Source organism: Homo sapiens, chromosome 11 (assembly GCF_000001405.40).
Source record: "Homo sapiens chromosome 11, GRCh38.p14 Primary Assembly".
Lineage (NCBI taxonomy): Eukaryota > Metazoa > Chordata > Mammalia > Primates > Hominidae > Homo > Homo sapiens.
This window is the reverse complement of record NC_000011.10, coordinates 74,572,528-74,599,031: the sequence shown is the minus strand read 5'-3', so window position 1 is coordinate 74,599,031 and position 26,504 is coordinate 74,572,528. Positions and strand designations below refer to the sequence as shown.

General features: G+C 44.6%; 1 protein-coding gene and 1 long non-coding RNA gene across 8 annotated transcripts in view, besides 2 other annotated features; both read right to left on the bottom strand.

The window, feature by feature from the left end:
* Positions 1 to 6,450, bottom strand: part of POLD3 (DNA polymerase delta 3, accessory subunit) — a 76,760-nt gene extending 70,310 nt beyond the window's left edge. For 4 of the 7 annotated variants that reach the window (NR_046409.2, XM_005273716.1, NM_006591.3 and 1 more), the window contains exons 1-2: positions 6,314 to 6,450; positions 4,916 to 4,971 (exon numbers count right to left, since the gene is read on the bottom strand). Coding sequence is in view for 4 of the 7 variants with exons in the window: in XM_005273716.1 (XP_005273773.1) it covers positions 4,916 to 4,971; positions 6,314 to 6,373 (116 nt within the window). In the remaining 3 variants the exon portion in view is untranslated. Of the gene's footprint in view, positions 1 to 4,915; positions 4,972 to 5,821 lie in introns of all 7 variants that reach the window. The other 3 variants (NR_046410.2, XM_011544734.4, NM_001363597.2) reach the window with 3 other exon arrangements.
* Positions 6,155 to 6,788: an enhancer, noted in NCBI's record as "H3K27ac hESC enhancer chr11:74303289-74303922 (GRCh37/hg19 assembly coordinates)". NCBI's record gives its function as "activates a minimal SCP1, AML or CMV promoter by ChIP-STARR-seq in naive H9 embryonic stem cells {active_cell/tissue: H9 hESC(naive)}" and the evidence as "EXISTENCE:reporter gene assay evidence [ECO:0000049][PMID:30033119]".
* Positions 17,463 to 17,512: an enhancer, noted in NCBI's record as "active region_5253". NCBI's record gives its function as "activates an Ori minimal core promoter by ATAC-STARR-seq in GM12878 lymphoblastoid cells {active_cell/tissue: GM12878}" and the evidence as "EXISTENCE:reporter gene assay evidence [ECO:0000049][PMID:35858748]".
* On the bottom strand, positions 20,652 to 23,050 carry LOC105369386 (uncharacterized). Its single transcript, XR_950302.3, has 3 exons — positions 23,009 to 23,050; positions 21,446 to 21,594; positions 20,652 to 20,911 (listed from the first exon to the last, which is right to left on the bottom strand). It is a non-coding gene; the product is annotated as an uncharacterized LOC105369386 (long non-coding RNA).
* Between the last annotated feature and the right edge of the window lie 3,454 nt (positions 23,051 to 26,504).

The window sequence follows — 26,504 nt, the reverse complement described above, 5'->3', positions numbered from 1 at the left end:
GTGCTTGGTATTCATTCAGTATGTATTGGCATTCATTATGTGCCTGACACTGAAGACAGAATAATTGTGGCATGTTATATTTTCCAAAGATGGCTGAGACAGCATCTTCCATTCCATATGCTCTTCTACATTCTCTCATTGAGAAGTAGAGCCCACTTCTTGAATCTGGTATGACCAGTTATTCACTGCTTGACTTCTGAGGCTAGTCAGAAAAGGCAATTGGCTCTACATTGTGCTGGAACACAAGCTTTTGGAGCCCTGAGCTTCTATGTAAGAAGTCCGACTACCTGGAGACACCAGGCTGTGAGAAAGCCCAGGCCATACAGATAGACCACATGCAAGCACTCTAGTCCACTGCCCCAGCTAAAGGCCCAACAGATGGCCAGAATCAACAGCCAGACATGTGCATAAAGATGCCTAGAGATGACCAGGTTCCAGTTATTGAGACTTTCCAGCGGGGATGCCAGACATCATGGAACAGACATAAGCCATTCCCACTGTGCCCTATCCAAATTCCAAAGCAAAAGAATCTATGCGCATAATAAAATGATGTTTCCAGGCACTACATTTTGGGGTGATTTCTGACACAGCAATAGTAATCAGAACAGTGATGAACCTGACAAGTTTCCTGCCTTCATAGAGTTTATATTCTAGTGGGGAAAGACATATAATTAGCAAGAAAATGCCAAGACAATAATATGAATTATAAAATGCTGGGATAACCGTATACCCATGTGCAAAAAAATGATGCTGGACCCTTTCCTTACACCATACACAAAAAATCAACTCCAAGTGATTCCTAGAAGATATAGTCAATATTTATACATTTCAGTGATTCATTTAAAAATTAGCTTGAACTAACACCTAATCTGAAAGCTTTAGTATAGTCTTACTGTAGGAACTAAAGCATTTTTTTCTTTTTCTTTCTTTCCTCCCTTTTTTCTCTCTCCTCTCTTTCTCTTTTAGAGATAGGTTCTTGCTCTGTCACCCAGGTGTGATCATAGCTCACTGCAGCCTTGAACTCCCGGGCTCAGACAATTCTCCTGCCTCAGCCTTCTGAGTAGCTAAGACTGCAGGTGCATGCCACCACACCAGGCTCATGTTTTAAAAAAACTTTTTATAAAGATGTGGGTCTCACTATGTTGCCCAGGCTTGTCTTGAACTCCTGGGCTCAAGCAATCCTCCTACCTCAGCCTCCTCAAGTGTTGGGACTAATACAACTGAGCCACCACAGCCACCCGACTGAAGCATTTCTAATGTTAACAAGTACATGGCCAGGTGCAGTGGCTTATGCCTGCAATCCCAGCACTTTGGAGGACAAGGCAGGAGGATGGCTTCAGCCTGGGAGTTCGAGACCAGCCTGCACAACACAGCAAAACCCCGTCTCTACAAAAAATACAAAAAGTAACCAAGTGTGGTGGCATGCGCCTGTAGTTCCAGCTAGTCGGGAGGCTGAGGAGGGAGAATCACTTGAGCCTGGGAGGCTGAAGTTGCAGTGAGCCAAAATTGCGCCACTGCATTTCCATCTGGGCAACAGGGTGAAACCCTGTCTCAAAACAATAATAATAATGATGCTAACAAGCACACGATCTGTAGAAAACTTAAACATAGTGATAACCATGATTTTTTTAAACTCTAAGTGGATTACAGAATTAAATATAAGTGCAAAAACTAAAAAATCTTAGAAAAAAGCACAGGAGTAAATCTTCATAACCCTGGGTTAGGCAAAGCCTTCTTAGATATTATGTCAGAAGCACAAGCAACACATCAAAAAGAAAACACAACAAGGGTATGGAGAAAACAGAATGCTTATACATTGTTGGTGGGAATGTAAATTAATACAGCCATTATGTAAAACGGTATGGAGGTTCCTCAAAATATCAAAAATAGAGCTACTGTATGATCCAGCAGTCCCACTACGGATATACATCCAAAGGAAATGAAATCAGTATGTCAGAGATATTTGCACTCACATGTTTATTGCAGCACTATTTACAACAGCCAAGATATGGAATCAATAAATGTCCATTAATGGATAAAGGAAATATAGTGTATATACACAATGGAATACTATTCAGCCATAAAAATGAATAAAATCCTATCATTTGCAACAAAATGGATGAACCTGGAAGAGACTATGTTAACTGAAATAAGCCAGACACAGACAAATACTACATGATCTCACTCATTTGTGGAATCTGTAAAAGGTGATCTCACGGAAGTGGAAAGCAGAATTTTCTTTCCATAGGCTGAAGTGGTTAGGGGAGGGGGAATGGGGAGATGTGGGTCTAAAGGATACATAATTACAGTTAGACAGGAATAAGTTCAAGAGCTCTACTGTATAGCATGGTGACTACAGTTAGTGATGATATATTCTTGAAAAATGAAAAGATGGTAGACATTAAATGTTTTCACCACCAAAATAACTGTGTGATGTAATACATTTATTAGCTAGATTTAACTACTCCACAGTGTATATATACTTCAAAACATAATGTTGTACACAATAAATACATACAACTTTATTTCTCAATTTAAAAAATCTTGGCTTGGCACGATGGCTCACATCTGTAATCCCAGCACTTTAGAAGGCCGAGGCGGGCAGATCACTTGAGGTCAGGAGTTCGAGACCAGCCTGGCCAGCATGGTGAAACCCCAACTCTACTAAAAATACAATAAAATTAGCCGGGTATGGTGGCACATGCCTGTAGTCCCAGCTACCTCGGAGGTTGAGGCAGTAGAATAGCTTGAACCAGGGAGGCGGAGGTTGCAGTGAGCCGAGATCACGCCGTTGGACTCCAGCCTGGGCGACAGAGCAAGGCTTCTGCCTCAAAAAAAAAAAAAAGAAAAAAAAAAATCTTCTTAGGCCGGGCACAGTGGCTTGTATCTGTAATCCCAGCATTTTGGGAGGCCAAGGTGGGAGGATCACTTGAGGTCAGGAGTTTGAGACCAGCCTGGGCAACATAGCAAGATCTCATCTCTACTAAAAAAAAAAAAAAAATAAGATTAAAAAAAATTTAATCATTTTAAAATTTAAACTTAAAAAAGCATAAGCAACAAAAGGAAAAATAAATAAATTGGACTTCATCAGCAATAAAAACTTCCATGGGCCAGGCATGGTGGCTTATGTCTGTAATCCCAGCACTTTGGGAGGCCAAGGCAGGGGCTTGAGCCTGGGAATTCAAGACCAGCCTGGGACCAGCATGGGAAACATGGCGGGACTCCATCTCTACAAAAAATTTAAAAATTAGCTGAGTGTGGTGGCACGCACCTGTAGTCCCGGCTACTCGGGAGGCTGAGGTGGGAAAATCACCTGAGCCCAGGGAAGTCAAGGCTGCAGTGGGCTGAGATCACACCACTGCACTCCAGCTTGGGCAACAGAGTGACATCCTGTCTCAAACAACAACAACAACAAAAAATGTCTGTGCTTCAAAGCACACCATCAAGAAAGTACAAAGACAATCCACAGAATGGGAGAAAATTTTTGCAAATAATTTTTCAATCAGGGTCTTGTATTCAGAATATATAAAGAACTCTTAAAACTCAACAACAACCAAAAATACCCAATGACAAAAATGGGCATAATTTTGAATATCTATTTCTCCAAAGATATGGCCAAGCAGCATATGAAAAGATATTCAGCAACATTAGTCATTAGGAAAATGCCAATCAACATAATTTATGAGATACCACTTCACATCCACTAGGATGGTTAAAATAAGACATAATAAAAAGTTTTTGCCAGGTGTGGTGATGTACACCTGTAGAGCTAGTTGGTAGGCTGAGGCGGGAGGATCCTTGAGTTCAAATCCAGCCTGGGCAACATAGTGAAACCCCATCTCAAAAAAAAAAAAAAAAAAAAAAAAGAGTTCATCCATGAGAAGTCTGAGGGAAAAAACAGTGTTAGTGTTAACCAGAATGTGGAGAAACTGAAATACTCATATACTGTTAGGACTGTAAGAAGCGCAGCCATTTTGAAAAATAGTTTGTCAGTTCCTCAAAATGTTAAATACAGAATTATCTCATGACCCAGCAATTCCAATCCTAGTTTGGCTGTGTCCCCACCCAAATCTCAACTTGAATTGTAATAATCCCCACATGTCAAAGACGGACCAGGTGGAGATAACTGAATTATGGGGGCAGTTCCCCCATGCTCTTCTCATGATAGTGAGTTCTCACGAAATCTGACGGTTTTACAAGGGGCTTCCCCCTTCGCTCGACACTCATTCTCTCTCCTGCCACCCTGTGAAGAGATGCCTTCCGCCAAGTCTCCTGAGGCCTCCCCAGCCATGCGGAACTGTGAGTCAATTAAACCTCGTCTTTATAAATTCAATCTCAGGTGTGTCTTCATAGCAGCATGAGAATGGACTAACACAAATACCCAAGATAACTGAAAATATATGTTCATATAAACACTTATAGATGAATGTTTTATACATGAATGTTCATAACAGCATCATTCATAGCAGTCAAAATATGGAAATAACCCAAATGTCCATTAATGATGAATAAACAAAACTTGTTGTATCCATATTACAGACTGAATCATGTCTCCAAAAAGGTAATGTTAAAGCCCTAACCCCCAATACCTTAAAATGTGACCTTATTTAGAAATAGAATTATAGCACATGTAATTAGTTAAGACAAGGTCATATTGGAGTAGGGTGGATTCGTAATTCAGTATGACTGGTGTTCATATAAGATGGACGTGCAAAGATACAGATATACAGGGAGAATGCCATGACAATGAAGGCAGAGATTGGAATTACGCAGCTACAAGCCAAGAAATACCAATGATTGCCAGCAAACCAAATTAGCTCTAATCTATGTAGGCTATCTGTAGAGTTAAAAGCAAAGCATAACAAAACAAAAAAAAATTCCAATATGATTAAAATTGGTAGTAAATTGGACTTACTGTTTGGCCTGGTTAACATGAACCCCTAGTGTATAGCTCAGCCATTTGTATGTCACCTGTAACAAGAAAAAATTTTTCAAATGTTTTATTAGATGACTCCAGAGTGCACATCAGTCCCGAAGGTCTGTTGCTAAAGATTCCTATTCTTAGATGATTATGCCTTACAAATTACAATAAATGCCACTGCAGTTTTCCCAAGAACTATCTATCTGGGTAGGCAGGACCTATTTATCTTAAAAATGCTAAGAAGTTTGTTTCATGAACTAATGAAAAGTAATCTAAAAAGACAAGCTGAACATACCTAACAGAAAAAACTCTCATTTTCCTCACATTCCTTGTTTTACTCAGGCCCTTTCCTCATGATGTTTTTTTTGGGGGCCACCAGCCAAAGCCATCCTAAAACTCATTCAGAAGCTAGATGACTTTGAAGTGTGATGTCTCAGAAACTTCTAAAGAAAGTTGCACCCATGCAAACATTAAAGGGCACAGGTGGTGCAGGGGTCAGGAAACGAAAAAAGTGGGTAAATATTTTTATAAGAGATTAGATTGGGAACTACCAGCATCAAGCCTTCATCCCTCCTAGACCCAGGATGCCTGCACTCTCTTCTCTCAAAGTCTCTTCCAATTCCAAATGTCAAGCTTCCAATAGTTAGAAGACTTGCACAGGTTAGGCAAAGGCAGTGTGATGTAGAAGAAAGCATTAGTAAGAGGACAGACCTAGGTTGAAAAACTGCCTATCCCTTACCAAACGCAAATAAACAAGTTATTTGGCCCCTCAGCTTCAATTTCCTCATCTCGGGATACCACCACCGACCTGGGATGGGGTGCGGGGAGGTCACTGTAAAGATTAAAGTGCCTTGGCACACAGCAGGCACTCAATCATCACGGTTTGCAAAGTGCACTCACATCCATCAATTCGCTCGATCTTTTCCTCACCCGTGTGAAGCGGATCAAACCTCTATCAATGCTTAAATTTCCAGGAAGAGGAAACAGTATCTGGAGGTTACGCAACTTGTAACTTAACACAGTTAAGACACGATTTCCTCAACTGTAAACTTAAAACTTTAAACGCCAACCACCTTAAAAGAAAGGTGTAGGGACGCCTTAGAACTCTCAGCCAACGGCCCTCCCTCCGCGCCCGGTCTCCGCGGCTCCAGCCCCAGGCTCTGTTCCCAGCACGCCCACCCAAGGGACGCGGACTTCCGTGTGTGCTGGAGGACCTTCCCGACGAGTCCTCGCTCGCTCTGGGGCACAGAGCTCGCCCAGGTCCCCTCGTGGGGACCTGTCTCCCCTGGTCCCCACGAAGCCACAAGCAGACAGAGGGTCAAGGCTCCCGCCGCCCTAGCCGGGCCCAGGACCCCGGTCGCACGCCCGCGTTCCCCAGTAGTAGCTGCTCACGATCTTGTTTTGGTCCGTGACGAACTCGTCTATATTTTCCAGATAAAGCTGGTCCGCCATGGTGCGGCAGCGCTGGGACCCGCCTCTAACCCCTCTCTCAATCACAGCCACAGCTCCCGCCGGCGGGAAACGTCTTTGCTCCCTCCCAGGTCCCGGGTCGTTTCCCCGGCAACGGAGGCGACGCACTACGGCGGCCCTCGAAGGGTCAAACTAGTCAGGGAGACGGCGCAGACGGAGGTAGGCAGAGCTAGTAGAAAACACCGAAGTGCGGGGCCTCCTGGCTGGTTTTTTCCTATACCTACGTACCTATGATAAAGTTTAATTTATAAATTAGGCACAGTAAGAGATTAACAAAAATAACTAACGATAAAATAGAACAATTATTATTATACTGTAATAAACATTAGTGAATATGGTCTCTCAACAGATGTCATTGGGTATAATATTTCCCTACCGAGGTTGGCTGCGCGTGATGAAACCCGGGAAAGCCAGGATAAAGGGGAGACTATTGAAAACAAGTAATTTTAGTAGTGCTGCCAACTGGGGAAAAGTACTGCCTGTTATAATCCCTCAGAGTTGAGAAATTAGGGAAGGTTTTTCCAGAGGGGTTGAGGAGAGGCTGAGTGTTTCGGATAGAAGCAGGAGAATTTGCTGGAAAAGAGTTCATTATCTCTGGATTGTTAGGAGAAGAGGCGGATGAGAGAGACTTGGGAGAAACCAAATCGTTGTGCCTAGGAGACTGTGAAGAGGCGCTTGAGCTGTGTTCTCAGGAAAACTTGGAGAAAAGTTATCAGGTTGGGGAATTTCAACTCAAATTTCTCCTAGTATCACCCCCGCAAAAATCTTTAATAATTGACTTCAGCATAAGCCGGTGCAGTTCAGTATCGCAGGTGTAGTGCGTAAGAGAGTGGGCTCTAGAGTCAGACTTACTGGGTTTGAATCCTGGTTTTGCTGTTTGTTGTGTAAACTTAGGTAATTCTTTAGCCACTAGGAGCCTATTTCCTTATCTATAAAATGGGAATAATAACAGTACCTACTTCAAAGGCTTGTCGCGACATGCATTCATTCAAAGCATAGCAAAATCCTGAGAAAGGCCAGATACTATTCTGAGTGTTGAGGTGCTGGGGCTGCAGCTATGAGCAATAATAAACCGAGCCTGTTCACATGTAACTTACATTCTGAGATTTTTAAGTGAAAGATAGTGGTGGTTTAAAATAGGGTAGCAGACCGGGCGCGGTGGCTAACGCCTGTAATCCCAGCACTTTGGGAGGCCTAGGGGGATGAATCACCTGAGGTCAGGAGTTCGAGGCCTGCCAGGCCCACATGGTGAAACCCTGTCTCTACTAAAAATATAAAAATTAGCCGGGCGTGGTGGCACGTGCCTATAGTCCCAGTTACTCCCAGGGCTGAGGCATGAGAATGTCTTGAATCCAGGAGGTGGAGGTTGCAGTGAGCCGAGATCATGCCACTGCACTTCAGCTTGGGAAACAGAGAGAGACTCCGTCTAAAAATAAAATAAAATGGCTCGGCGCAGTGGCTCACACCTGTAATCCCACACTTTGGGAGGCCGAGGCAGGCAGATCACCTGAGGTCAGGAGTTCGAGACCAGCCTGGCAAACATGGCGAAACCCCGTCTCTACTAAAAATACAAAAATTAACCAGGTGTGGTGGTACACGCCTGTAATCCCAGCTACTCGGGAGGCTGAGGCAGCAGAATCACTTGAACCTGGGAGACCGAGGTTGCGGTGAGCTGAGATGGTGCCACTGCACTCCAGCCTGGGAAACAGAGTGAGACCCCCCTCAAAATAAATAAATAAAATAAAATAGGGTAGCAGTGCCAGGCACAGTAGCTCACACCTATAATCCCAGCACTTTGGGAGGCCAAGGCAAGTGGATCACTTGAGCCCCAGGAGTTCGAGACCAGCCTGAGCAACATACTGAAACTCCGTCCCTACTAAAAAAAAAAAAAAAAAAAGCCATGGTGGCACGAGCCTGTGGTCTGTGGTCTGTGGTCCCAGTTCTGAAGTGGGAGGATGGATTGAGCCCAGGAGGTAGAGGTTGCAGTGAGCACTTGATCATGCCACTGCATACAGCCTGGGTGACAGAGTGAGACCCTGTCTCAAAAAATAATAATTTTTTTTTTTTTTGAGACAGAGTTTTGCTCTTGTTCCCCAGGTTGGAGTGCAATGGCGCGATCTCGGCTCACTGTAACCTCTGCCTCCCGGGTTCAAGTGATTCTCCTGCCTCTGCCTCCCAAGTTGCTGGGATTACTGGCATGCGCCACCACACCCGGCTAATTTTGTTGTAGTTCTAGTAGAGAGGGGGTTTCGCCATGTTGGCCAGGCTGGTCTCGAACTCCTGACCTCAGGTGATCCACCTGCCTTGGCCTCCCAAAGTGCTGGGATTACAGGCGTAAGCCACAACGCCAAACCAATACATTTTTTAAAATAGAGTAGTGGTAGTGGAAATTGAGAGAACTGAGTGACTTGAGTTTTGTTTTAGAGTCGGCAAAACCTGCTGATGAATTACACGAGTGGAGTGTGGAAAAAACAGGAATCAAGGAAAATACCTAGATATGGAACATAAATCTTTAGGTAAATGGTGATGCCCTTGACTGAGACGTGAAAGACTGGAAGCAGATGAGAAAATCAAATAATTCTATTTGGCCAGTTACAAATGAGATAATATACATAAAACTCTCATGCAGTACCTGCACACAATAAAATCTATGATCGTTGACTATTACGTTATTATATACCAGACCTACTATACCAGGTACTTTAAGAGCAATATTTCATTTAGTCCTCATAGCAATGCTGCAAATGTATTATATTGTCCATATTTTATTTTATTATTTATTTATTTATTTTGAGACGGAGTTTTGCTCCTGTTGCCCAGGCTGGAGTGCAATGGCGCAATCTCTGCTCACTGCAACCTCTGCCTCCCGGGTTCAAGCGATTCTCCTGCCTCAGCTTCTCGAGTAGCTGGGATTACAGGCATGCACCACCATGCCCAGCTAATTTTGTATTTTTAGTAGAGACAGGGTTTCTCCATGTTGGTCAGGCTGGCCTCGAACTCCCGACCTCAGGCAATCCGCCCACCTCAGCCTCCCAAAGTGCTGGGATTATAGGTGTGAGCCACCGTGCCCAGCCTGTTTATTTATTTTGTTTTATTTTTTGAGATGGAGTCTTGATCTGTCGCCCAGGGTGGAGTGCAGTGGCATGATCTCCACTCACTGCAACCTCTGCCTCCCAGGTTCATGCGATTCTCATGCCTCCACCTCCTGAGTAGCTGGGATCACAGGTATGCACCACCACACCCAACTGTATTTTTAGTAGAGAGGGGGTTTCGCCTTGTTGGTCAGGCTGGTCTTAAATTTCTGACCTCAAGTGATCCGCCCACTTCGGCCTCCCAAACTGCTGGGATTACAGGTGTGACCCACTGTGCCTGGCCATTGTCCATATTTTAGAGACTGGATTGTTGCGGCTCAGAGAGAAATAGATTTTTCCAGGATTATTAGGTGGTTGCTGTGGGATCAGAACTCAGGCCTCTTGTCAGTGCTCCACAGGAGTGGGAAGTAAGTCAAGATAATTAGCTAGGGAAGAGTCTTGATACTTATCCCTATGCCAAATGGAGCAGATGACAATGAGGTGGCTACATTGTCTGGGCTATATACCCTGGGGTTGGTAGTCTGGCACCAGGAAAATTTAGGACACTAACACACACGAAGAGTTTAGGAGCGGAGGTTTAATAGGCAGAAGAGAAAGAGAAACAGTTCTCTTTATATATAGAGAGAGGGGTCTCCTAGTGATCATGGTGGCAGATGCGCTGGACTTTATAGTCCAGCTTGAGGAGGCGGTGTCTGATTTATGTAGGGCTCACAGATTGTTTCGATCAGGTGTGACATTTACATAGCCCAGGGGTGAAGGCTGGTATCCCCACCCTGATCTTATGATGCAAATGAACTCTCCTTGGCTGGCACCATCTTGTCTGCTCCTTACTGTACATGTGGCTGGCAGAGAAGGGATGATGGAGTCGCCATCTTGAACATGTCTAGTCCCTAGTTCCTGCCCACATTCACCCGTGCAAGCTCCCAGCTTGCTTGTCTATGTCTGAAGCTCAACTTTACAGGCTGGTCTTTGTTAGAAAATGATTTGGGGCTGCTTTTCATGAAAAAGAAAAGCCTTACCATGGACTTCTATACCCTTACTATCTGCCTAAGTGATTTCTTCTTAACTCCTATATCAACCACACTGTTTAGAGTGCCCAGCCCAACCCAATGGACCTGCCAATATTAGGGTTGAATGACTTAGCTGGATTAGTGGTTACCCTTGGGAGGGTAGAAACTGGAAGGGAGTATGAGGAGGCTTTTGAGATGAAGGTAATATTCTTGATCTTGGTGCTGGTTGCATGGTGTGTTGAGTTTGTGAAAATGATTTGAGGTATATACTTTTGATATGTATAGTTTTCTATATGGATGTTTGCGTGAATCAAAAGTTTAAGGAAATTATTTGAGGAATCTTAACTACAGTGTCAAGTCTTTTCAAACTAGGAAAATAGAAAATAGGTAGAGGTATTAGAAAGAATGGGTTTAATCTTAACCTTGGACAATAGAAAGGAGATTCTGGGAAGAAGGGATAATGGGCAAAAGTGGTGCAAAGCAAGGCAGTAATTGGATTATCAAATCAAGATAAATAATGAAAGGTATCTCCAAGTCTGGGTTGGGATAATGGGACTAGAAAGGAATGACTACAGCTCTGCACAGGATTGGGTAGGCTGGGGGTTGGGTTAAGGGCAGGAGAGCTGGAGGGGGAAGAGAAGAGATAGCTTTTCTGTTTCTGTGTCTAAGGCCTATCCAGTTTGATTTTTCCTTTTCCAATTTGGAGCGTAATTGAATGAAAAGCATATGGGCTTTGGAAACAATGTTTCTTGTGAGAAGCAAGAAAGCAAACAAACAAACAAACAAACATCTGGGCCTGAATTCCAGCTTTACCACTTACTAGCAGTGTGGCTTTAGGCAAATCATTTAACTTCTTTTATCATCTTAAAAGAAGAGAGATAATAATATCCAGCGATGTACAGATAAATGTGTAATAACCAACTTGCTAAATAAAAAAAGCCCTGATTTGAAGTGGTTGCACTTCTGTGGTATAAATACTCCACATAGCAGAATTCAAGCTACAGATATTGATGCCATAGAATGCAGAGTTAGGAAGAGATGCACAGTATCACACCATTATTTCCATCATACAGACACAATAAACATAAATAACCTCAAGAGCATAGATAGGCCAGGCACAGTGACTCACATCTGTAATCTCAGTACTTTGGGAGGCAAAGACAGGAGCATCCCTTGATCCCAGGAGTTCGAGTCCAGCTTAGGAAACATAGTGAGACCTGTCTCTCTATAAAAGAAAAACACAAATGAAAAAGAGCATAGATAGTAGTAAAACACTTAGGAAGTGATGAAATTTGAATATTGTCTTGTGTTTAATATAATTTGATTGTACATTTATATAATTTAATTTTCAGTAATGGCTCTGTTTAACTGACTTGCAAACTTTCTGAAAATTTAACATTCAGCTCTCATAAGCAAGTGCATCAACCAGCTCTCGTGCATCACTGTAAATAATTTATCTACCTTGCATGATTGAGAGGGTTGAAAGTAACATGTTCTGTGCCTTGGAGATAATTAAGTGCTCCATAAATGGCAACTATTATTATATAACAAACACTTATATACCACTGACTACATGACAGGCTCCATTCCAAGTGCTTTACAAATATTAACCCATCTAATCTCTGTAACAACCCTAGAAAGTAAAGCATGTTATTATTCCCTTTATTCAGAAAAGTAAACTCTGTCACAGAGAGGTTAAATAACTTGCCCAAGGTCACAAAGCAACACAGCTAGAAGTATAACCCAGGCAATCTGGCTACAGCATCCATGATCTTAAACACTGTGTTTTGCCATCTCATTATTAGTTTACAACTGTACATATAAAACCAATAATAAGTACAGTGAACTCTAACACATTTTATTGCAGAATTTTGGGATTCCTGTGCACATCAGTCAAGTGAGAATTACTTTCAGTAGAAACCAAGTAACAAATTGGATATGTTGAGTATCACATCATATGACAACATAGAGTCCAGGCAAATAAAAGTTAATCTTGAAAGTTTTTGAGTCAGGTGTTGGAGGTAAGGGAAGTTTGAGGGGAGTATAGACCTTTGATTAGATTTAGAAGGGAACTACAGCTAGCAAATGCCAGTGAAGAAACCTAGGACTGTGTCCAGGAGATTAGTATTTTATCTAGATAATGCCTGAAGGCTTCATTTTAGGGTCAAAAGTAAACCAGAAAAGAGAACTCCTCTGTACTTTTACTGCCATGAATCCCAGATGAAGAGTCTTTTAGGTTGTATACATTGCTTGGATGATAATAACTATCATTTATTGAGCACATACCGTGTTTTGAGTACCTTGCCTAGAGTGGCTTATTTAATCCTCAGCCAATCCTGTTAGATTCAATTATCCCTTCACCAAAAAAGGACCCAAATTTGAGATCAATTTTATGTTGTTAATGGGAAGAGTTAGTAGAAAACAATTCCATGTAAGTTCTAAGACAAGGTTTGCTTAAACAAATAACTAAGTAGCACTTTACAACTAGCCTCATCCTAATATAATAATAATAATGACAACACCACCACCAGTGTCTAATAGCTTCTTAATAAATGTTTACTGATTTAGTTTTTTTGTTTGTTTGTTTGGTTGGTTGGTGTTTTGAGACAGAGTCTCACTCTCTTGCCCAGGCTGGAGTGCAGTGGCATGATCTTGGCTAGCTGCAACCTCCGCCTCCTGGGCTCAGGCAGTCCTCCTGCCTCGGCCTCCTGAGTAGCTGGGATTACAGGCACCTGCCACCATGCCTGGCTAATTTTTATATTTTTAGTAGAGATGGGGTTTCACCATGTTGTCCAGGCTGGTCTTGAACTCCTGACCTCAGGTGATCCATCTGCCTCGGCCTCCAAAGTGCTGGGATTACAGGCGTGAGCCACGGCGCCTGTCCTGACTTACGTGTAATTACACTAAAAGCAGTGAGATTTAAGGGGAAAAATATAGGACTGAGAAAAAAGGAGACCTCAGAGTGTTCACTATGAATTACCATTCACTGCATATGTAGGCACGATGCTAGGCCTTTTACTTGAATATTTTCATTTAATCTTTGGAACGACCAATAAAGTAAGTATTATTACTTACCTACTATTATCTGTATTTTATAGATGTCACTTAGCTTAAATTATTATCCCTATTGTACAGATGAAGAAACTGGAGCTCAGAGAAATTAAGTAACTTATCCCAAACCACATAGGTAGTAAGTGGTAAAGATGTGTTTCCAGCCCAGGTATGCCCAAAGCCCATGTTCTCAACACCGTGGTTATCTTTACACGATAGCATTTGGCTGATTTTTGTTCTCTTCTTTATATCTATTTTTTCTTATATGTGTTTGGAAATTTTAACAAGAGTCCATATCATTTTTATTTATTTATTTTTTTGAGATGGAGTTTCACTCTTGTTGCCCAGGCTGGAATGCAATGGCACGATCTCGGCTTACCGCAACCTCCGCCTCCCGGGTTCAAGTGATTCTCCTGCCTCAGCCTCCTGAGTAGCTGGGATTACAGGCATGTGCCACTACACCCAGCTAATTTTGTATTTTTAGTAGAGACAGGGTTTCTCCATGTTGGTCAGGCTGGTCTCGAACTCCCGACCTCAGGCAATCCGCCCACCTCAGCCTCCCAAAGTGCTGGGATTATAGGCGTGAGCCATCGCGCCTGGCCAAGAGTCTGTATCATTTTTATAATCAGAAAAGAATGAACATATTTTCATTTTGAAAAAAATGGAGCATTTAGCAATGTCAAATTAACTCTTTTTATTCCAGTTCTCTGTAATGTTTCCCTATTTAAAATGTAAAAGGCGGCTGAGCGAGGTGGCTCATGCCTATAATCCCAGCACTTTGGGAGGCCGAGGTGGGCGGATCGCCTGAGGTCGGGAGTTTGAGACCAGCCTGACCAACATGGAGAAACCCTGTCTCTACTAAAAATACAAAAATTAGCTGGGTGTGGTGGCAGGCGCCTATAATCCCAGCTACTCGGGAAGCTGAGGCAGGAGAATCGCTTGAACCCGGGAGGCGGAGGCTGCAGTGAGCCTAAATCCTGCCATTGCACTCCCCTCTGGGCAACAGAGTAAGACTCCATTTCAAAAAAAATAAAATGTAAAAGGCAATCTCCAGAAAGGACTAGCACCACCATTCCTACTTACAACATCTTAAATGTCACTTTAAAAAAAAAAAAAAACAACAACTCACTCCTTATTCCTTAAGGATGAGGCTTACCATATGTGCCTCATGTTGAGAACAAAAGCAGTTCTCCAGAAGCCAGAATAATCAATCAGCCAAAGCATTTTCTAGCGAAAAGAGAGGTCAGACAAAACTGTTGGGGATGTTGGTGTCAGGTGCCACCAGCAGTGGGAACCATAGGACCGAACCACCTCAGCCTCCATGCCTCAAAAAAGAACCTAAGATAGGTGTCAGAAGTAGAAGGCTGACCCTCCTCTGTCTTCTTCGTCATCCCCGCTTCATCCCAGAAATAATTGCATCAGACAGTCTAATGATTCTGACAGGGCATGGAGTGGGAAATCTAGACAGGGCTCAATATTGGGGCAGGGTGATGAGCAATCAACCTATATGCAGGCAGGATCCCCAAACTCAGAGGAGGGAAGGAGGCCAGGCCTCTGGACAGGAAAGGAAGCCCTTGGGGGCAACTTAGGAACCCTATCAGTTGGCTAGCCTTCAGGGATACTACAGGTTTATTGGGGGTAACGTTTTCCAAGCAGGGTAACAGGTCAACTAAGGAGTATAAGATTAAAGTAATCTTAAGACCAGGCTCGGTGGTTTATGCCTATAATCCCAGCACTTGGGGAAGCCAAGGCAGGAGGATCACTTGAGGCCAGGAGTTTAAGACCAGCCTGGACAACATGGCAAAACCCTGTCTCTACTAAAAAATACAAACATTAGCCAGGTGTGGTGGCTCACTCTTGTAATCCCAGCTACTTGGGAGGCTGAGGAGGGAGGATCGCTTGAACCCAGCAGGTGGAGGTTGCAGTGAGCCAAGATCCTGCCACTGCACTCCAGCCTGGGCAACACAGTGAGACCCTGTATCAAACACAAAACAAAAAAAGAAGTAATCTTAACACCAACATATTTCTTGTTGACACAGATGTATTTAGTAATTAGATCACTCATTCATTCATTCATTCATTCATTCAACAAACATTGCTACAGGCCTCTTGTATACCAGGCTCTATGTGATTAATCGGGACACAGCATGGTCTTCATCTCTGGGAGTTTACAGTCTGTATAGGGTAAAGAGCAATACAGTGTGAGGAAATCACAGTGTGCCACAAGAACCTGGAGGAGGCAGCTCACCTAGCCCAAAGATCAGAGGAAATCAGGGAAAGACTTTGGACCTGGATACCAGGGATATATACCACGTAATCCTTCCTTTCATTTGGTGCAATATATAAGAAATGAAATCAGAGTGCTGTCTTTTTTTTTGCCAGGCTGGAGTACAGTGGTGCAATCTTGGGTCACTGCAACCTCTACCTCCTGGGTTCAAGCAATTCTCATAACTCAACCTCCTGAGTAGCTGGAACAACAAGTGTGTACCACCACGCCTGGATAATTTTTGTATTTTTGGTAGAGACAGGGTTTCACCATGTTGGCCAGGCTTGTCTCAAACTCCCGGCCTCAAGTGATCCACCCACCTTGTCCTCCCAGAGTTCTGGGATTACAGGCGTAAACCACCACACGTGGCCAGAGTGCTGTCTTTGTTACAACTTTTAACAATACATCACAAGCCTGTATTTCTTCTTTTTCAAAAAGTTGTTTAGGCCAGGCATGGTGGCTCATGCCTGTAATCCCAACACTTTGGGAGGCTGAGGTGGGAGGATCGCATGAGTCCAGGAGTTTGAGACCAGCCTAGGCAACACAGGGCAACCCCATCTCTACAAAAAAAGAAAAAGAAAAAAATAGCCAGGTGTGGTGGCTTGTGCCTGTAGTCCTAGCTACTCGGGAGGCTGAGGCAGGAGGATCACTTGAGCCCAGGACGTCAAGGCTGCAGTGAGCTATGATCATGCCACTGCACTCCAGCTTGGGTGACAAAGCAAGACCCCATCTCAAAAATAAAAGCATTTTTTAAAGTTGTCATAAACTTTTATGAGAACATGTGTATCTTACATAGACTGTCTTGTGGAATGTATAGCTACCCAGGCCAGGCCAGGCCAGGACACATCACGCTCATGACAGCTGGTGACGTAGGAGCTCAAGGACAGTGAGATAAGCCTGCAGGTGCTTGTTCTAAAACACCTTATCAGTGCTATAAAAATCAATGTAAAGTCCCTCAGTTACCAAAACTAAGTGGGTGAGCCAAGAGGACACTGTGATACTGGTTTTCCTGTTCTATACCTATACCACCCCGTCATGCTCCCAGCCACACTCACATCCCAGCCTGTTTATTCCTCAGCTCGCTCACCAGAGGTTCACATCTCTACCTTTGCTGCCTCAGACATTCAGAAAAAGAGCAGGAGGACCTTCCATCCCCACCTTGCATATGCTTTGTATAAATTTTTTCCTTTCTCCCTTCCCTTGGGGGCTGGGAGAGTGCTTGGAGTAGTGATGCTAAAAGTGAAGATAACTGGAAACTGGCTATGGGCAATTTTGTCTTAAGCACATCATTTCTGAATTTTTTGTTTTTTTGTTTGTTGTGAAACAGAGTCTCCCTCTGTCACCCAGGCTGGAGTGCAGTGTCGTGATCTTGGCTCACTGCAACCTCCGCCTCCTGGGTTCAAGCAATTATCCTGCCTCAGCCTCCCGAGTAGCTGGGATTACAGGCGCCCGCCACTATGCCGGGCTAATTTTTGTATTTTTAGTAGAGCTGGTGTTTCACCATATTGGCCAGGCTGGTCTCGAACTCCTGACCTGGTGATCGCCCACCTTGGCCTCCCAAAGTGCTAGGATTATAGGCGTGAGCCACCGCACCTGGCCTCTGAATTCTTACAATGTGTGTCAGGTGGGGTTGGCATTCAGGGCTAGAAAGAAGCATATGATCATTTTTTCAGAGAACATTGGTTTCTGCCCCCAAACACTGCTGGTCAGGGAGGCTTCCTGAGGAGCTGTCACATGGTCTCAGCTTTCATGTCAGGTAAAGAAGGGCAAGGGCTGTTCCAGACACAGTCTGGATGGAGTGAGCTGCTCTCTTTGCCTCATTGTCTTTTGACCTAATTGCTTCTTTCTGTATGACTGCTCTGTTTTCTTCTCTGCTTAACCACAGTTTTTGTTTCCTCATAATTTTAGTGTAAACACAGCCATTGTTGCCATGGCTCATCTCAACTACCACTTCCAGCTTTTGGCCCATGACTAACTACAGATTTTCTCAACAGTTCCCCATTTTGTAATTCCTAAATGGTCCAGTCCAATTTGCTCAACTTATTTCAGTTTTAGGTTTTTTTAAAATTTCAGATTATCAAAATTTTTTCAGGATACTAAGCAGCCCGTGGACAGGTCCTCTTGGACAAGTGCTCATTCATTCATTCCTCACTTGTTCACTGAGTTTCTTCTTAGACTTCACTATATATATGAGATACAATAGTATACAAGAGACATATGGCCCAGGTTGGAGACAGATAAGTTAACAAACAGTTAAAAGACCATGTTGGCCAGATGCGGTGGCTTATGCCTGTAATCCCAGCACTTTGGGAAGCCGAGGCAAGTGGATCACCTGAGGTCAGGAGTTCAAGATCAGCCTGAGCAACATGGTGAAACCCCTCTCTACTAAAAATACAAAAATTAGGCTGGGAGCAGTGGCTCACGCCTGCAATCTCAGCACTTTGGGAGGCTGAGGCAAGTAGATCACGAAGTCAGGAGTTCGAGACCATCCTGGCCAACATGGTGAAAACGCGTCTCTAGTAAAAATACAAAAATTAGCTGGGTGTGGTGGCGGGCGCCTGTAATCCCAGCTATTCGGGAGGCTGAGGCAGGAGAATTGCTTGAACCGGGAGGCGGAGGTTGCAGTGAACCGAGATTGCGCCATTGCACTACATCCTGGGCAACAGGGCAAGACTCCGTCTCAAAAACAAACAAACAAACAAACAAAAAAACAAATATTAGCTGAGTGTGGCGGTGGGCACCTATAATCCCAACTACTCGGGAGGCTGAGGCAGGAGAATTGCTTGAACCCAGGAGGCGGAGGTTACAGTGAGCCGAGATCATGCCACTTCACTCCAGCCTGGGCTAAAGAGCGAGACTCCATCGCAGGAAAAAAAAAAAAAAGGAATGCATTGAATTTGGTCTCCGTCAGCTAGAAGAGTGACAGGCACAAAAGCCAGAGTTCAGTAATTTAAGGAATGAAGAGTGAGAAGAACTGAAGATAGAAGGTGAGGACAACTCTGGCCAATTAAATACATGGAAATGGAGAGGTGGAAGGAGTTGAGGATGGTCGTGAGCTTCATAGCATGTCTGTCTAAGCCACAGGGCTAGGAGGTGGTGGTGGACGTTTGTGTTAGGAAAAGGCATGCCAGGCATTGTGGGGTCTGCTCCGTCTAGAGTGTTGTCAGTCAGGGAGGCCTGACTGGAGGAACTGAAGGCTGGAATCTGCAGGAGGGGACATGGAATTCTTCAAAGGCCTTTTCATCCCTGGTTCCCAGCACCCTGCTTGGCTAAAACTGGAATGGACAGGCCCTTAGCAAATATTTATTGGCTGGAAACTGAATGCCTGGTGAATAGATGGATGGGTGGATGAAATTGAATTAAATATTGTTCTGCTCTATAGTCCTTTTTGTTGAGTTACAGAATATTGTTTGTGGAAGGTGTTGTCTACTTTTCCTTGCACCACTGCAATGACTATTGTCTGTTATCAAGTGAGCATTATAGATAAGCTAATGGGGAAATCCAGCTTCCTTCAAAGACCCAATGATCAGAAATGAGGACAGAGAGGCAACGAGCCCAGGTCCTAAACAGGCTTGAGGGCTGCAAAGAGCCCTGCTGCTAGACCCCACAGGGAGGCTTCACGTGTTCCTACGTACAACCTTGACACACAGTACTTTAGTAAACATTCCATATGTTTGGGGTTGACCAATTTAAAGTATCTTACCTTTCAATATTTTCTTCTTAAGGCAAAATCAGATAGTGGACTTCCCCAACTAACTTCCCTCATTTTCCCTTGCTCTATGATGCCTCCACCACCCCTCTGCTGTCCCTGTACCTGCCCTATTTCAGGCCCTCCTATCATCAGTCTTTTCTTTTTAAGTTGTTTTTCTACTAATAAAGGAAATGCCTGCTCGTCCTCATCTTTTCTAGCTTCATCTCTCCTCCAATCCGCCCTCCCTGGCCCTGGTTCATCTTTAACACAAGTTCTAGGATGATGTTTCTTTTCTTTTCTTTTTTTTTTTTTTTTTTTGAGACAGATTCTCGCTCTGTCGCCAGGCTGGAGTGCAGTGGTGCGATCTCGGCTCACTGCAACCTCTGCCTCCTGGGTTCAAGCGATTCTCCTGCCTAAGCCTCCCGATTAGCTGGGGCTACAGGTGCCCACAACCACACCCAGCTAATTTTTATATTTTTAATAGAGACGGAGTTTCACCATGTGGGCCAAGATGGTTTCGATCTCTTGACCTCATGATCCACCTGCCTCGGCCTCCCAAAGTGCTGGGATTACAGGTGTGAGCCACTGCACCTGGCCAGGATGATGTTTCTGAAACACAGATCTGATGATGTTACTCCCTGCTTAAAACCCTTTGGTGGTTCTCTGTTGATTTTAGAATAAAGTCTCTCTCTCTCTCTCTCCTTCCTTCCTTCCTTCCTTCCTTCATTCATTCCTTCCTTCATTCCTTCCCTCCCTCCCTCCCTCCCTCCCTGCCTCCCTCCCTCCTTCCCTCCTTCCTTCCTTAATGGAGTCTCACTCTGTCACCCAGGCTGGACTGCAGTGGCACGATCTCAACTCACTGCAACCTCCACCTCCCAGGTTCAAGGGAGTCTCCTCCCTCAGCCTTCTGAGTAGCTGGGACTATAGGTGCATGACACCATGCCTGGCTAATTTTTTTTGTATTTTTAGTAGAGATAGGGTTTCATCGTGTGGGTCAGGCTGGTCTCAAACTCCTGACCTCAAATGATCTGCCCACTTCAGCCTCCCAAAGTGCTGGGATTACAGGTGTGAGCCACCGTGTCCGGCAAGTCTCAGTTTCTTAGTAGAGAAGACGGGAGCGTTCAAGGCTCTTCAGGGTCTGGTCCTTCTTCCACCTTCCTCTTCAGCAATGTCAAACTGCAGTAGCGCCAGCATCATCCAACAGCACACACCTGCTATCACAGCCACATGTCTTCGCTTCCTGCTTCTGCTGCAGCCTGAAATACTGCCCTTGACTCTGCTCCATTCCTTTATGTCTGGAAGCTTGAGAGCCTCCTTCCTGGCATTTGTCTCATGGCCTCCTGCTGATTAAACACAGTCCAGATGGTGCTGCTGCTTCTCATCTGGCTGGGCAAGATTCTGTTTCAGCTCCTGATTTCCATGAAATATGCAATCCCATCAGGCATTTGGGGATTTGGGCAGTGTACTAAGGATGTGAGGAGTGTGGGGGAAGGGGTACACTGCACAGTTCCCACAATTTACACCTAAGATTTCCCACCTGAGGTCTCTCCTCTCCAAAATTCCCTTGTTTCAGCCAGCTTCCCAGCCCAGGGTATTTTAGTCTTCCCCCTTCTCCTTGTTAGGAACACATGTGTGCATGCATATATGTGTGTGTGTGTGTGTGTGTGCATGCATGCATGTGTGTGCATGCGTGTGTGTGTGCATGCATGTGTTGCGTGTGTGCATGCATGTGTGTGTGAATGTGTGTGCATGCATGTGTATGTGTGCGTGCGTGTGTGTGTGTGTATATGTGTGTGTAAACCTCCCTTGTCTCATGCAACACAATCCCACCCTTTCTCTACCCAAGTTCCAAGAGGCTATAGGGTAGTTTTTCATAGATTATCCTAATTTCTTCTCAGGATACTTTGGCACCTGTTGCTAAAAAAATTAAAGAGGCATCCATACCTTACACATCTCTCTCACTGAGTTTGCTGTGAGCTCCTGAAGGCCAGGCCCATGTCTAATTCATCACTGGTCCCTGTTCCAGCTGGAGCCTGGCACAGACATGGCCAGGACATAAATGAGCCACCGGACTGTGGTGTGGCTAGAAGAGGCTGGGAAGTATGGGATAGCAGGTCAGTAAGGAATGCCTTCATTTTTCATCCTGGAGAGTTGGGTTTCTGATGAGCTGCCCCCACCCCCCATTGTTCTCAGAGCTGATTCATACCCAGAAATATATCCTCTGCCTCTGTCGATACATCTTGGCCTTTGAGAACCCCATTAGGCCAGACAAAGGGAACGTCCATCTGCTGGGCACTTTCTTTCTTTTTTTTTTTTTTTTTGATACAGAGTCTCGCTCTTTAGCCCAGGCTGGAGTGAAGCGGCGTGATCTCAGCTCACTGCAACCTCCGCCGCCTGGGTTCAAGCAATTCTCCTGCCTCAGGCCCCCGAGTAGTTGGGATTATAAGTGTGCACCACCACCACGCCCAGCTAATTTTTTGTATTTTTAGTAGAGACAGGGTTTTGCCATGTTGGCCAGGCTGGTCTCGAACTCCTGACCTCAGGTGATCCACCTGCCTCGGCCTCCCAAAATGCTAGGATTACAGGTATGAGCCACCGCGTCCGGTCTGCTGGGCACTTTCACGAGGTATTTCCTCCTCCAGGAAGCTGGTCTCCCTCTGTGACCATCCCCGGGAACCACATTTCTCACAGATCACCTGTCCAACAGCAGGTGCCAAGTCTACTCCCATCCTTACTGCCCCTCGCTGAGCACAGGCCCGGCCATCTTTCAGCCTCCCCACTGGTCTTTCTGTCTCCATTTCCACCTCTTCCAGTCTGTTCTCCATACTCACCACTAGAAATATGGTTCTGGGCCAGGCGCGGTGGCTCACGCCTGTAATTCTAGCACTTTGGGAGGCCAAGGTGGGCGGATCACTTGAGGTCAAGAGTTCAAGACCAGCCTCACCAACATGGCGAAACTCCATCTCTACTAAAAATACAAAAATTAGCTAGGCATGGTGGCACATGCCTGTAATTCCAGCTACTTGGGAGGCTGAGGCAGGAGAATGGCTTGAGCCTGGGAGACGAACATTGCGGTGAGCCGAGATCACGTCACTACACTCCAGCCTGGGCGACACAGCGAGACTCCATCTCAAAAAAAAAGATGGTTCTAAATGCTAAACTGACCTTGACCACCACCCCCCAACCTCAGGTAAAATTCCTTCCATGGCCCCGCTACTGCTTTATTTTAATAACTTGATTGATAAATAATTTACATACCATAAAATTTACCCATTTTAAGTATACAGTCAGGTGAATTTTAGTAAATTTATAGTTGCGTAACCATCACCCAAATCCAATCTTAGAACACTTCCATCATCCCCAAAGTTTCCTTGTGCCTTATATTCTCCACTTATACAGTCAATCCCTACCTCACCCCTTAGCCCTAAGCAACCACTGACCTGCTGTCTCTATAATTTTGTCTGTTCTAAAAATTTCATGCAGCGTGCTGGGCATGGTGGCTCATACCTGTAATCCCAGTGCTTTGGGAGGCCAAAGTGGGAGGATAGCTCCTGGAGTTCAAGACCAGCTTGCGTAACATAGTGAGACCCTCTCTTTATAAAAAATTTAAAAATTAAATTTAAAAAATTAAGCCGGGCATGATGGCTCATGCCTGTAATCCCAGCACTTCTGGGAGGCTGAGGCAGGAGGATAGCCTGAGCTCAGGAGTTCGAGACCAGCCTGGACAGTGTGGCAAGACCCCATCTCTACAAAAAAAAATTAGCTGGGCATGGTGGTGCATGCCTGTAGTCTGATATACACAGGAGACTGAGGTGGGCGGATCACTTGAGCCTGGGAGGTCGAGGCTGCAGTGAGCCGTGACTGTGCCAATGCATTCAATCCTGGGCAACAGAGCAAGATCCTGTAACAACAACAACAACAACAAAATTTAAAAAGTAAAAACGGAAACAATGCAGATGGAACCATATAACGTGTAGTTTTTGTGTATGACTTCTGTTTTGGGCTGAATTTTGTCCCTCCCAAATTCATATTTCAAAGTCCTAACCTCCAGGACCTCAGAATGTAACTGTATTTGGAGACAGTCTTTAAAATGGTACTTAAGTTAAAATTAGGGCATTAGAGTGGGTCTTAATCTAATGACAGGTGTCCTTATAAGAACAGATGAGGACTTGTACATGTACAGAGGGAAAACCATGTGAAGACATAGGGAGAAGATGGCCTTCTGCAAGCCAAAAAGAGAGGCTTCAGAAGAAATCAACTCTGACAACACCTTGATTTCTAGCCTTCAGAACTGTGAGAAAATAAATTTGTTTGTTTGTTTGTTTGTTTGTTTTTTGAGATGGAGTCTCACTCTGTTGCCCAGGCTGGAGTGCTGGAGTGCAGTGGCACAAACTCAGCTCACTGCAACCTCCGCCTCCCCAGTTCAAGCAATTCTCCTGCCTCAGCCTCCCCAGTAGCTGGGACTATAGGCGCCCACCATTATACCTGGCGAATTTTTGTATTTTAGTAGAGACAGGGTTTCGCTAATGTTGGCCAGCCTGCTCTCAAACTCCTGACCTCAAGTGATCTGCCCGCCTCAGCCTCCAAAAGTGCTGGGATTACAGACGTGAGCCACCACACCTGGCCAAAATTTGTATTAAGTCACCTAGTCTGTGGTACTTTGTTATGGCAGTCCAAGCAAACAAATGTATCGTCTTTCATGTTAGTGCAAATATCAGTAGTTGATTACTTTTTATTGCTGAGTAGTATTTTATTGTATGAGTGTACCATATTTTATTCATTTACTGACCAGATGATGGGTGTTGGATAAGTTCCAGTTTTGGTACTAAAAAATTTGCATACGAGTCTTGGTCTGAATGTGTTTTTATTACCTAGTGGTGCATCTCAGTGCTTTATTTTATTTCATTTTATTGTTTGAGATGGAGTCTCACTCTGTCGCTTGGGCTGGAGTCAGTGGAGCAATCTCGGCTCACTGCAACCTCTGCCTCCCAGGTTCAAGCGATTCTCCTGACTCAGCCTCCCGAGTAGCTGGGACTACAGGTGTGCACCACTACACCCAGCTAATTTTTGTATTTTTAGTAGAGATGGGGTTTCACCATGTTGTTTGGCCAGGATGGTCTCAATCTCTTGACCTCGTGATCCACCTGCCTCGGCCTCCCAAAGTGCTGGGATTACAGGCGTGAGCCACAGTGCCCGGCCTTTTTTTTGTTTGTTTGTTTGTTTGTTTTGAGACGGAGTCTCACTCTGTCACTCAGGCTGGAGTGGAGTGGTGCAATCTCGGCTCATTCAACCTCTGCTTCCTGGGTTCAAGCGATTCTTCTACCTCAGCCACCTGGGTAGCTGGGACTACAGGTGCCCGCCACCACCCCTGGCTAATTTTTTTTTTGTATGTTTTTATTAGAGACCGGTTTTCACCATATTGGCCAGGCTGGTCTCAAACTCCTGATCTTGTGATCCTCCCGCCTCAGCCTCCCAAAGTGTTGGAATTACAGGCGTGAGCCACCGCGCCTGACCCTCTCAGTGCTTTTAAGATCAAGTTTGAGGCCGGGTGCTGTGGCTAATACCTGTAATACCAACACTTTGAGAGACTGAAGTGGCAGGATCACTTGAGCCCAGGAATTTTAGACCAGCCTGGGCAACATAGTCATACCCCATCTCTACAAAAAATAAAGAAATGAGTCAGGCATAGTAGCGTGTGCCTGTGGTCCCAGCTACAGGGGAGGCTGAGGTGGGAGGTTCACTTAAACCCAGGAATTTGAGGCTTCAGTAAGCTGTGACCACGCCACTGTACTCCAGCCTAGGTGACAGAGCAAGACCCTGTCCCAAAAAAAGAGATCAAGTTTGAGCTTCTTACCACCTCAACTTCACCTCTCACCCCTAGCTGCTTCTTACCTATGCTCCAGCAACACAGACTGCTGATAAGTCCAGGTACATACCGTGTTATTTCCCACAAGTCTTTGCATCTGCTGTGCTCTCTTCAGAAGTATCCTCCTCAGTGTCCTCAGCCATAAAGAAGGCAGGTATCTTCTCTGCCAGGCTAGTTTAGGGCTCCTTTCCTTTGCTGTCATAACCCTTTGAGGTTCTATCATGCTAGATTACAGTGTCAGGTTGAATTTTTTTTTTTTAACTAGGCGAGTTTCTTAAGAAAAGGAATATTGTGTTATTTATTTCTGTATTCTCAGTGTCCAGGACCTATGTAATAATTGGTGTTCAATAAATGTTTGCTTAAAAAGGGAATAAATAAATGAATGAGTGATTCAGTCATTTGAAAAGTCTTTAGTGAGTGCCTACCATGTGTTTAGTATAATGCTAGCCACCACCGTGGCCACAAAAGAAATAAAAGACCTATAATACGTCCTTAAGGGCCGGGTGCAGTGGCTCACACCTGTAATCCCAGCACTTTGGGAGGCCAAGGCAGGCGGATCATGAGGTCAGGAGTTTAAGACTAGCCTGGCCAATATGGCAAAACCCTGTCTCTACTAAAAACACAAAAATTAGCCAGGCGTTGGTGGCACGTGCCTATAGTCCCAGCTACTCGGGCGGCTGAGGTAGAAAAATTGCTTGAACCCGGGAGATGGAGGTTGCAGTGAGCCAAGATCGCGCCACTGCACTCCAGCCTAGGCAACAGAGTGAGAGTCCATCTCAAAAAAAAAAAAAAAAAAAAGTCCTTAAGGAATTTTAGTTGGGAAAACAAGACCTGCTCAGGAAAACGGATTATAGAACAATGCAATAAAGAATCAAGTTGCTGAAGAGCACTGCACACACAGATCTCTGTTCAGATTCTGGCTGTATGATCATGTGCAAGCCCCCTAAGCTCTCTAGGCTTCAGTTTCCTCATCTGGAAAATGGAGATAATTACCAGATGTGTTGAGTTCGAGGTACTATTGGCATACAGTACTAATCATTAAACAATGCCACTCCTCTGGACAATATTTTATAGAAGTTCACAAAGCTGATTCACGTCAAAGCTGATTCACATTCTTTATCTCATGTGATCAACCCT